Below are 12,286 nucleotides of genomic sequence, written 5' to 3'. Positions count from 1 at the left end.
CAAACATGGATATAGGCCCTATCTCCTTGTCTACTGGCTTAGCACCAGTTCTTAAATATCATAAGTCCTTCCCATGCTAGAAATGATAAGGCAGAGGAAAAGAAAAACTCACAGCAGATTAACTAATTAAAACAGATTAACTCTTTTTGGCAGGCCAGGATCTCACTGTGGCAAATGTTGAGAAGAACACAGGGATGAAGACATGGAGACCTAATAATACTGACTGTAAGAAGCAAATTATCATATAGGGAACCTCCAAAACCCAGAGAGAAAGGAGCCCTCAACTGTCAAATAGATGAGCTCAGATATCTGCAGTAATGCCCAACCCTAGGAATGGCTTAGGTACATTGTAATGATGGAACTGTCTCTGGAAGGCACCAAAGACCATTCAAGGTAACCAAGGTAAATCTTCAGAACTTGAGCGCAAACGGTAAATGGGCTTTCTGAGCAGCCAGAGAGCTAGAAGCAGAGACTCTGCTCAGAGATCCCTTGCTCCCCTGCCCCCTAACCCCATGGGGATATGGCCAAACAGATGCTCAATTCAGCTGGAGAATCAGGAGGGTCCTAGATACCTGCATGGATTTCCCATTATTGATACACTTCATGTATATCTGTTCTTTCTGAATGGTAAGATAAACTCATGAAAAAAGGGACTGAGATGTCACAAGAAAGTTTCTCATGCGCTGTGATACTTTACTGCTGTGATCTGAATATTTGTGTCCCTTTGAAATTCATTATGTTGAAACCTAATCTCCAATGTGATGCTATTAAGAGATAGGCCTTTTGAGAAGTGATTAAGTCATGAGAGCACAGCCCTTGTGAATGGGATTAGTGCCCTTATAAAAGAGGCCCGAGGAAGCTTGTTTGCCTCTTCCACCACATGAGGGCACAGGCAAAAGATGTCATCCATGAGGAACGGGCCCTCACCAGATACCAAATCTGCCAGCACCTTGATCTTGGACTTTTCAGCCTCCAGAACTGTGAGCAATAACTTTCTGTTGTTTTTAAGTTGCCCAGTCTAAGGTGTTTTGTGATAATTGCCCACATGGACTTAGACACTTTCCTTGCACAGTGTCACTGTACTCCCATCAGGGACTTGGAGGGGCCAAGGCAAGTTACACTAAGATAGGCTGCATCTGCTCCTGATTTGTGGCTACCTTATTTCAGCCAAATTCTGTATCCATGGTTAAATAAGTCAGGAAATTAATCTAACCTTACAAGTGTGTGTGTGGGAAGGGGCTCTTTCTACCAATTGATAGTAAATCTGAAATTATGCAGAAAGCTGTAACTTAAAAAACCATGTTGTAATCTGTATAGGGAAGAGATTGTATTTGCAGAAAGGTGGCCATACAGAATCTAAAGAGCAGCGATCTAAAGGAAAGAACCTTACCAATGCTTATCCAATTATGCCCAAGGGAGTAAAACACTATTTAGTAGATACAAGTATTCTGGTAGCTACATAAGTATACTACATAATGCAGGGCAAGAATAGTTCACCAGGATTATCTATAGCCTAGATAATACAGACTTCAAAACCAACATTGGTGAAGTCCTCATCTATAAAGAAGATATTATAGTATCTACCTCATAGGATTACATGAGGATTAAGTGAGCTGATGCAGGATAACATGCTTAGCATAGTGCCTGACACATGGTAAGCACCCAGTAAGTGTACCAGTTATTATTATTTTCTAAGACAAAGATTGCCTTTGGCCTGATTCTATATTCAATTAACAACATTCTATTAATTCTGATTTTTACTGGTACCTTAATAATACCAGAAGGGAGGTTACTTGAGAGAATTCTAGCCAAAATTGAATTTCTAGATCTTCATAAAGACTCGATCTTGGAACTATGGTTCTCAACAGTTCTGTGTATCTGGAGGCATTTTTGATTATCACTATGACTGGGCTGCTGGTGGAATTTAATGCCTGAGGACGAGGGGTGCTAGTTGAGATCAGTCCTACACAACAGAAAAATTGTCCTGCTCAAAATGTCCATAATGTGTGAATTGATAAACACTGCACTGGACTACAATGATTCCACTAAAATACTTACCTCGAAGGCCTGGGCAGTCACCTCTGGACTTTATCTAAATGCAAAATTCCATAGTTCTCATAGTTATCTGCAATTTCATATCTGATAATCACTGTCTGCTGCTTCCAGAGAACTCCACCAATTGTTTCAGATGGTATGTGCCAGGAACAGAGCCCCTGCAGTTTCTGAAACTGGGTCATTGGTCCCAAATAAAATTTGCTGTCAAGATTCCAGAGAGGGTCTGGTAAAGTGGAAAGGTCCCTCAAGAAACAGCATGTCTAAGCCTTATGCAAAACCATAGCAAAGGATTGGACTAGCATACTCACATTAGTGAGATCTTCAAAAGCTGATCTCTTTTTGAGTGCTCCCTGAAGTGAAGATGGAGACTCCTGAAGTGAAGATGGAGATATCTTCGTTTGGCAATTCTCCCCCGTCTAAAAAAGTAAAAGAGGTAAATGAGTATATCCAATTGTGAACAGTCTCTTCAGGGACTTTGGGTCCTCTTTAGGGCTCAGGGGAACTCCAGAACCTCAGAGTAACTGAGGATGCATATAATAAACCCCAATAAACTATAACAAAAGGAAATTATGGCACTCAGAGCTGTTTATTAAGTCCCTAAAGGTGGTAGACATTGTTAATGGGGTACGTCTACAAGGAGGCAAGATGACCTTCAGTGTAACTCACAAAATGAGCAAAGTGTAGCTCAGTAAAGCTCATTTCTCCTCTTACTTCTCTCATACTTACGGTTATCCTATCCAAGGTAGACCACTACCACCCCTACCATTCCTAGTCATTCCTTTAATATAGATGTTTCAGGTAGATCAGTTTAATAATTTAACAAGTATCTAAGTGTCTCTTATGTTAAGCAGCTTTTTCAGGTAGATCAGTTTAATAATTTAACAAATATCTAAGGGTCTCTTATGTTAAGCAGCTTTTAAAACAGCGGTCCCTAACCTTTTTGGCACCAGGGACTGGTTTCATGGAAGACAAATTTTCCACGGACACTGGGGTGGGCTGGTTTTGGGATGATTCAAGCACATTACATTTATTGTGCACATTTATTATTACATTGTAATATATAATGAAATAATTATATAACTCGCCATAATGTAGAATCAGTGGGAGCCCTGAGCTTGTTTTCCTGCAACTAGATAGTCCCATCTGGGGGAAATGGGAGACAGTGACAGATCATAAGGCATTAGATTCTCATAAGGAGCGCGCAACCTTGATCCCTCGCATGAGCAGTTCACAATAGGGTTCATGCTTCTATGAGAATCTAATGCCACTGCTGATCTGACAGGAGGTGGAGCTCAGGAAGTAATATGAGCGATGGGGAGTGGCTATAAATACCGATGAAGCTTTTCTCACTCACTGCTCACCTCCTGCTGTACAGTTGGGTTCCTAACAGGCCACAGACTAGTACTGGTCCATGGCCCAGGGGTTGGGGACCCGTTTTAAAAGACATTACCAGTAAGGATAATAGCACACACATCTAGATACTGCTCCATGGCCCAGGGGTTGGGGACCTGTTTTAAAAGACATTACCAGTAAGGATAATAGCACACACATCTAGATACTGCTCCAGGATCAGCTCTTTACTAACTGTTGACCTTGGACAAGTAACTTAATCTCTAATCCTCAATTTTCTTATCAGTAAAGCTGGATAACTTGCCTTACAGTCCTTGAAGATTAAATAAGACAATACATGTTTTTTAAAAGTTCGTATGAACTGTAAATGGGCAGAAATAGTATTTAAAATAATGTAGTCTGATATGATTGTAAACCTCACAAGGAAAATTTTATATTAAAAACAAAGTTTAGTAATCCAGATTAATCTCTGATTGTTAGTATATATAAAGGAGGGGCCGGGGAAGGGAAGGGGGATGAATATTTTAAAGCAGAAGGGGCTTTTTTCCCACATATTCTGTGTCTGTGCTTGCCTTACCCCATTCCCAAATGAGTAAGACCATCTCTATAGGGTTAGAGGTTAGGGCAAACCACACTATAGGAGTCTTCTACCCTCTAACAACTTTATGTGGTAAAAATCTCCTAAGTCTCAGACTGCCCTTATGAAATTCTGAAAACAAACCCGCCCTACCTGTGTCAGAGAGCTGTTATAATGTGAAGCAGGACACTGGGATCAGACCATTTGCTCTGTTCTCCAGCTGTACCATTAACACTTAATACATGGCACAGTAAGTTACCAGAATTGGATTCATGACACAATAAACCAATCCAGCAGAGAGAGCAATCTTAAAAGAGCTGGAGCCCGACGCGGCGGCTCACGCCTGTAATCCCAGCACTTTGGGAGGCTGAGGCGGATGGATCATGAGGTCAAGTGATTGAGACCGTTCGGGCCAACACGGGGAAACCCCGTCTCTATCAAAAATACAAAAATTAGCTGGGCGCGGTGGCGCATGCCTGTAGTCCCAGCTACTCAGAAGGCTGAGGCAGGAGAATTGCTTGAACCTGGGAGGCAGAGGTTGCAGTGAGCCGAGATCGTGTCACTGCACTCCAGCCTGGTGACAGAGCAAGACTACGTCTCAAAAAAAACAAACAAACAAACAACAACAACAACAACCAAAAAAAAAAAAAAAAAACCGAACTGAGGGCCAGGCACTGTGGCTCAGGCCTGTAATCCCAATCCCAGCACTTTGGGAGGCCGAGGCGGGTGGATCACGAGGTCAGGAGTTCAAGACCAGCCTGGCCAAGATGGTGAAACCCCGTCTCTACTAAAAATACAAAAATTAGCCGGGCATGGTGGCAGGCGCCTGTAATCCTAGCTACTCAGGATGCTAAGGCAGGGAATTGCTTAAACCCGGAAGGTGGAGGTTGCAGTGAGCCGAGATCGTGCCACTGCACTCCAGCCTGGGTGACTGAGCAAGACTCCATCTCAAAACAAAACAGAACAAGCTGAGAAGAATTACTTCCATTTTCTAATTGATTAAGCCAAGACATAAGTAAGCTATTAGTCTTTCATCTAGCTGATGATAAATAATCCCACTAGAAATTAGCCAAAAATGAAACATTATTTTCTCAGAAATTAGCTAAGAAATAAACTGTTATCCAATTCCTATTTAATATTACTGATAGAAATAATTGACCCCAAATAAAATTATAGCTGAAACTGAACTCAATAAAACTTAGATTTGCAAAATGTACTCCAAGAAAGTTGGTTTTGGAAAAATAATTGCCACTAAAGAAAAGTTACAATGGCAGAACACTAATCCGAAAATTTGATGTTGACAAAAATCTGATCAATATATCAAATCTTTCTCGAAAAATTTACATAGGAAAAAATTTGGCACCTCGCTGAAAATCATTTTAGTAAAATAAGCAAGATTAGAAAATGTTTATCTGTGCTCAGAGAAAACCAATCAAGGAAATTAAATTCACCTAATGATGTTTTGCTCCAGGAAATACTCTCTTGATGCCAATTCATCAGTGCTAGTATAATTCTGATTAAAATATGTATGATGATGAACACAGAATATCCTAAGGTTAGAACATCAAACTATCAATAAAGTCAAAACAGCAGAGTCAAAATATACCCATTCTTCAAATTTAATAGCTATAAAAAGCATAATAATATATGTGCTGATATAATCTTCATACTCTCCCCAGAATGTACCAGTCTTTCAGCAAGGTGCTTGGAGCTTCTCAGAGAAAGTAAGAATATAGACATGATCATTAATGAGGACTGAGTGTTGTTCAGTTTTGAGGGTTATGGAGGGTGGCCTTCATTTGAGCCCTGCATTTATGGGAATGAAGAGTCCATACTTTCTCCCCAAGTTCTAATTTGCTGGCATTCTCCAATACAAGGGCTGCCACCCCTCCCCACTTTCTCAGGTTAAACCAGACATATTTCAAAAGACTCACAGGTGAGGATAGGTACTGAGCCAACACAGGAAGAGACTACCAAAGATATTGTTGGGAAAGACAGCTTGCTCTAACCTTTTCAGATGGGTCATGATGACTGGGCACAATTTTGCTGGACTGAGATTTCTTAGGCACAGGTTTGGAGCTCTGGGGTGGTAGTGGCAGTAGCATCACTTAGAGATTCAGCTGCGTCTTGTCCAAGGCAGGGCTGTAATCAGAAAGAGGCTCTTTAACACCATTCACCAGAAACACGATAAATTCTCTGAAAATTCTTGAGAAAACCCAGTCTATCTATAGCATCCCTAGGAGAAAACAGATTTTGATGTTGGGAAGATCTGGATTCAAATCTTGGTTTTATCACAATTAACCTCAGGCAAGTGACTGACTTAAAATCTCTGGGCTTCAGTTACCTCATCTGTAAAATGGAGATAAGTATACCTACCTCTGCAGGGTGTTGTTCAAATTAAATGAGACACTTTATGTAAAAAGCCAAGCACAGTGCCTACCATCCTCTGTGAACGCTGGGATGTTGTCTAGCCCCTAGTTTAGGCCTAGCAACACTGGGGACAAATTACATAGGAGTTTTGCATTGAAAACAAGGAAGAACATGACAGCTCATATAGTATGGAGGCAAGCTGGTAGAGCCAATGTTCTTAAAAGGCATGGGGTCCTGGCAAAGCAATTATGACCCTACAGAGAAAACAATAACTGCACACACATGTATTCGCGATAGGCCAGGCAGTATTCAAAGGCTGCGTTCAATCAGAAGAAACTGTAATCCAGTTCCAGACACCTGGAAGGAACAAAAAATTCAAAAGATGAGATTATAGCAAAATAAACTAACTTATTAAAAAATCATTTGACATAAGAACTTGATCTTGGATTTCCCAGCCTCCAGAACTGTGAGAACTAAATGCCACCCAGTCCATGGCACTTTATAGCAGCGCAAACTAAGTGCTATAGAAACATAATGATTAGTAACTTCACACCAAATGACAGAAGGCAGTGAAACACCGTTTACATAGTTTCTAGGGAAAAAGATTTTTCACCTAGAATTCTATACTTTACCAATTATGCAGATGTGAGGGCAAACTAAAATTACCTAAGGACGAAGATGGTGAAGGAGTAGGGGGAAGAGAAAGGAAGATGGAGGAGAAACAGAAAAATGAGAAAACAGTTGAAAAGTAAGCAGTTGAGCAAAGAAACCAATAAAATATATGGCTAAATCTAAGTAAAGGTTGATAATGTGTCTGTGATGCTTAATATGACTGCTAAAAATGTATTCCTGAAGTATTTTGATAGAGGCAAAATGTTTTTTAAAAAATCCAACTACCTGGAAAAATACAACTAAAATTCTTTTATAGACTTTGTTCAAGGAAAAGGATAGAAATAATGATTAAATCATAATAAAATTTATATGTGTCTGTCATGCCAAACTAAAAAAAAAAAAGAAAAGAAAAAAGAAACATAATGGAAAGCCAGTAATCTTGTTGGGGACAGGGGCTGGAGGAAGGCTTCACAAAGGAAGTAACATGTGATCAGGACTTAAAATGACAAACAGGTTCCCAAGTTGACTGGGAGGTTTCCAGGCAAAGAAAGCCGAGCCCAGGCAGAGGCATGAACATACAGAATTCAGGGATGTCCTAGTTGTCTGGAGTAGGGAGCATAAATAACATGTTGGGGAGGGGTTAAAATGAGGCTGAAAAGCTAGGCTGGGGCCAGGCTGGTAAGAAAAGGAAACAGAAAAGTCTGCAGCTTGAGGGGAAAGTTTAAGAAAGGAGAAAGCCTGATTTGGGTTTCGCTTTGGATGGAGAAGGATGAAACATTTTGTAGGTCAGGAAAAGCCAGTATAAGTATATGCATTCACATGTTACCTCAGTTGATTCTCACAACAAAACCATAAGGCTAAGCAAGGCAGGTACAATTCTATTTTACAGTCTCAGATGAGTTAAGTAACTTACTACCCAGGACAAACTATTAAGGGGCATAGACTGCCCAGCTTTTTCCCAGGCAGTTTCTAAAATACCATGAAGTCTCTTCGATCACACTCAAAAATATTCCAAAACAGTGAAAGGCCATAGTATGAGGAGGTAGAATGAGCACAGGTCTTGGAGTTTGAATAACTGGACTTCTAAGCCAGCCAACTTAGCATTTCTGAGCCTCAGTTTCCTCATTTTCAAAACAGCTATAACACCACTTACTTGCAGAGGACTTGTGTGGCTCAGATGCAAATTTACATGTACAAAACCTGATGCATGGCAGGCATTTAATAAATACTGTCTTACTCCCCTCTTCTTCTATCAAATCCAAACCTATATTCCATCTCATTCCTCAAACCTCAGCCAAGCAGCAATAAAGCTAAATTGGGTGCACCCACTGTTAACTGCACTGTATGAAAATCACTTACTCCACTATTATTATTTACGCCTCATAATTTTTTTTTTTATGGATGACCAAAGACTCACACTCTGAAACATTTACCTTTTAAAAGGAAAAAGAAATACGGAGCCCACAGGCTAGAAAACTCTCAGCTGATAACATACAGGTTAACTAAATCTCAGAGAAAATAAGGTTATTTAAATGATGGTCATATACCCCATTTATTATCGTGAACACTAATCATTTGCATTGAGGGACAGATGCACTGACTTAGGTAAACTAATTTTCCCAGGGAGAAGGGGAGGAGAGGGGATTGACACTATCAAAAAGATCCTTTCATAAAAGGACACTCTCTGCGGAACACTCTCAACTTCTGCCACCTACAGAACCCTGAGCCTTGGGCAAGAAAATTAGAATCCTTTCCCCTTTTCAGACTTTCCATGTCCCCTACATACACACTGGTAAGTGTTGCAGACTCCACTGGACCTCCCAGGGCTGGTGCTGAAACAAACAAAGGGGCAGCAGGGCTAAGCTGATCAAAACAGTCTACAGGAAGTAGTAGCAACTTCATTTTTTATATAAAGGCAGGTTACAGACAGCAAGGCTCTGGGGAGAGAACACAGCATTGTGTCAATAAAACAGCACTGGGCTGGGAAGGATGCCTAAGGTCTAGTTCTGGCTCTGCTCTTAGTTGGCTGGGTGACACTGGGCAAGTCCCTTTCCCTCTCTGGGACCCAGTTTTCCCACCCAATAAAACGAAGCAGTGGAACTAGAGCCTCCTCGCTATTCAATGTGGTCAATGGACAAGCAACATTAGCATCACCTGGAAATTTGTTAGCAATTTAAAACCTCAGGCCCCAAACTAGACCTATCAAATCAAAATCTGCAAATTAACAATATCCCCAGGTGATTTTTATGCACGTTAAGATTTAAGCGCCGCTGTTCTAGGGTCCCTTCTACCTGATCTTCTACGATTCTAAGCGTAGCAGAGGGTGGTGAGAAAGCCAAAGCTGAAGGTGGTTGCCGGTGGGAACAGAAAAGAGCCAGTGAAGATAAAGGGTTAACAATAGAGTGAGGACACGTGTCCATCCTCCCTTCATATCCTTCAACCTGTAGCTCAAAAGACATGCTGCAAGTAGCATTCTATGACTTAAATATGTCTGATCCCTCTGCACTTGTAGATGAAATTAATCCTGCACACTTTCACTTGTGAAAAGACGTTTTGTAAAAGTACTCTGATTCAGGCACGTGTACTAATTGCTCCATCTAAAAGCTGGGACCCAGTCTCATTTGCTTTGCCATCTCACTCCTTAACAAACACTCCCCCTGCCCAATCTTGTACAGAGCTCACTCCACAGGCTGCTGATCGACAGGAGATTGAAAAGTTTCCTTACAGGAACGCCGCGCATCCCAGCAACAGAATTCAGCAAGGGGCTGGAGTGACGCCCAAGGACCCACTGGCAGGCGACAGAGCCGGACGCTGGAGCCAGCAGTACTTGCCCAAAGGCGCCTACCTCACACCGAGATCGAGGACAGACAGCAAAGACCATCGACGCACCCCTAGACCAGGAGAGGCCAAGGAAATGAACGGAGCTCCTTACTATAGCGACTCGAGTCCGTCTCAACCTGACACCTGCGACCCTCCACCAGCCCAGTTGGGATTTTGAAAACTACAGCCGTCATGAAGTGCAGTGGTGATTGGCCAGCAGAGGACCAATCAGCGTGCACAGCTGCGACACGCGAAAGCCTAACAGGAAGGGGTGGAGCTGGGTATTTTAAAATCCAACTCTGCCTCTGAAGGACCTCGCAGTAGGGTGTTGTTTCTGGTATAATTGGTTGGACCAGGCTGGGCTGACACGCAGGGAGTATCGGGTCTCTTTAAAGACGAGTTTTTGGCCAGGCGCGGTGGCCTACTCCCGTACTCCCAGCTCTTTGGGAGAGCGAGTTGGGGCGGATCGCTTGAGGACAGGAGTTGGAGATGAGCCTGGGCAACATGGAAAAACCCCATCTCTACAAAAGATACAAAAATCAGTCGGAGCGTAGTGGCGCGTACCTATAGTCCCAGCCACTTGGAAGGCTGAGGTGGTAGGATCACTTGAGCCCGGGAGGCAGAAGTTGCAGTGAGCAATGATTGTGCCACTGCTCTCCAGCCTGGGTGACAGACTGAGACCCTGTCTCAAAAAAATAAAATAAAAGACGCGTTTTCATTTAAATAACCTTGCCAGAGGATGGGAAGAGCAGAGCAGCTGTATGATGCAGGTACGGGCCTATTAAAACATTAATATTAATAACCACTTATAGAGTCAAGCACTAATTCCTGCAGGCTTCACAAATAGCCTTGTGAAGGAAGCAAGGCAGAAGTTACTGCCCCTATTTTGTGAATGAGGACCCAAAGTGCAGAGAGCTAATAGTAGTTAAGTTAATTCAAAACGTGCTACCTACTATAAAATTTTTTATTGCTTTAAATCCTGTCCTAAAACAAGATCCTTGTATTATTGCCATTTTACAGATGACAAAATTGTACTTTGCTAATAGCTCAATATCTCATTCATTTCATTCATACATTAGTTTGTTTAACAAACATTTATTAATCACCTGATTTGTGCCAGGAACTAGAATATAGGTATATTTAAATCTATATTCTATATATATATTTATATCTATATTCTATACATATATTTATATCTATATTCTATATAGATATTTATATCTATATTCTATACATATATTTATATATATTCTAAAAATATATTTATATGTTCTATATATATTTATATATATATTCTATATATATTTATATATATTCTATATATATTTTTACATATATTCTATATATATTTATATATTCTATATATATATTTATATGTATTCCATATATATATTTATATATTCCATATATATTTATATATATTCTGTCTATATATTTATATATATTCTATATATTTATATATTCTATGTATATATTCATATATTCTACATATATTATATATATACTCATATATTCTATATATATTATAAATACATATTTATTCTATATATATTTTTATATATATACACTATATATTTATATATACTATATATATTTTATATATAGTATATATATTTTATATTTATAAAGTATATGTATTTATATAAATACCATATATATTCTATATATAGTATATATTTACATATATGAATATACATATTCATATATATTTACATATATGAATATACATAATCATATATATTTACATATATGAATATACATATTCACATATATGTTTGCATAGATGAATGTACATATTCATATATTTACATAGATGAATGTACATATTCATATATTTACATAGATGAATGTACATATGCATATACATTTACATATGAATATATATTTATATATAGAAAATATATATTCATATATTTATATATATGAATATATATTCATATATCTTTATATGAATAAATACATTCATATATATTTATATATGAATATTTCATATATTTATATATTTATATATATTTATATATTTATATATATATTTATATATATTTATATATTTATATATTTCTATATGAATATACAAAATATTTCATATATTTATATATTCATATAAATATCCTATATTCATATATATATTCATATATATTTAAATATATATTAAATATAAATATTCATATATATTTATATATGAATATGTATATATTCTCTATATATTTATATATAGTATATATATTCATATATATTTATATATGAATATATATACTCTATATATTTATATATAGAGAATATATTATATTCATATATATATAGAATATATATATTCTATATATTTATATATGAATATAATATATTCTATATATTTATATATGGAATATATATTAATATATATTTATATATGTTCTATAAATATATTCTATATATATTCAATATCTATATTCTATAAATATATTCTATATATAAATATATATATTCTATATGTATTTATATATACTACATATTTACATATAT

The 12,286-nt window shown here is 38.2% G+C and overlaps 1 protein-coding gene across 10 annotated transcripts in view; it reads right to left on the bottom strand.

Annotated features, from left to right (window-relative positions):
- The window catches only part of CCNB3 (cyclin B3), a 149,202-nt gene that overhangs the window by 60,664 nt on the left and 76,252 nt on the right, over positions 1 to 12,286 (bottom strand). For 8 of the 10 annotated variants that reach the window (XM_017029915.1, XM_047442599.1, XM_047442600.1 and 5 more), the window contains 3 exons: positions 6,635 to 6,709; positions 5,992 to 6,124; positions 2,364 to 2,471 (listed from right to left, as the gene is read on the bottom strand). In XM_017029915.1, coding sequence (XP_016885404.1) covers positions 2,364 to 2,471; positions 5,992 to 6,087 — 204 coding nt within the window. In that variant the 5' untranslated portion in view covers positions 6,088 to 6,124; positions 6,635 to 6,709. Of the gene's footprint in view, positions 1 to 2,363; positions 2,472 to 5,991; positions 6,125 to 6,634; positions 6,716 to 12,286 lie in introns of those variants that run through there. The other 2 variants (NM_033670.4, XM_024452472.2) reach the window with 2 other exon arrangements.

Source organism: Homo sapiens, chromosome X (genome assembly GCF_000001405.40).
Source record: "Homo sapiens chromosome X, GRCh38.p14 Primary Assembly".
NCBI lineage: Eukaryota > Metazoa > Chordata > Mammalia > Primates > Hominidae > Homo > Homo sapiens.
This window is presented reverse-complemented; position numbering and strand designations above follow the sequence as displayed.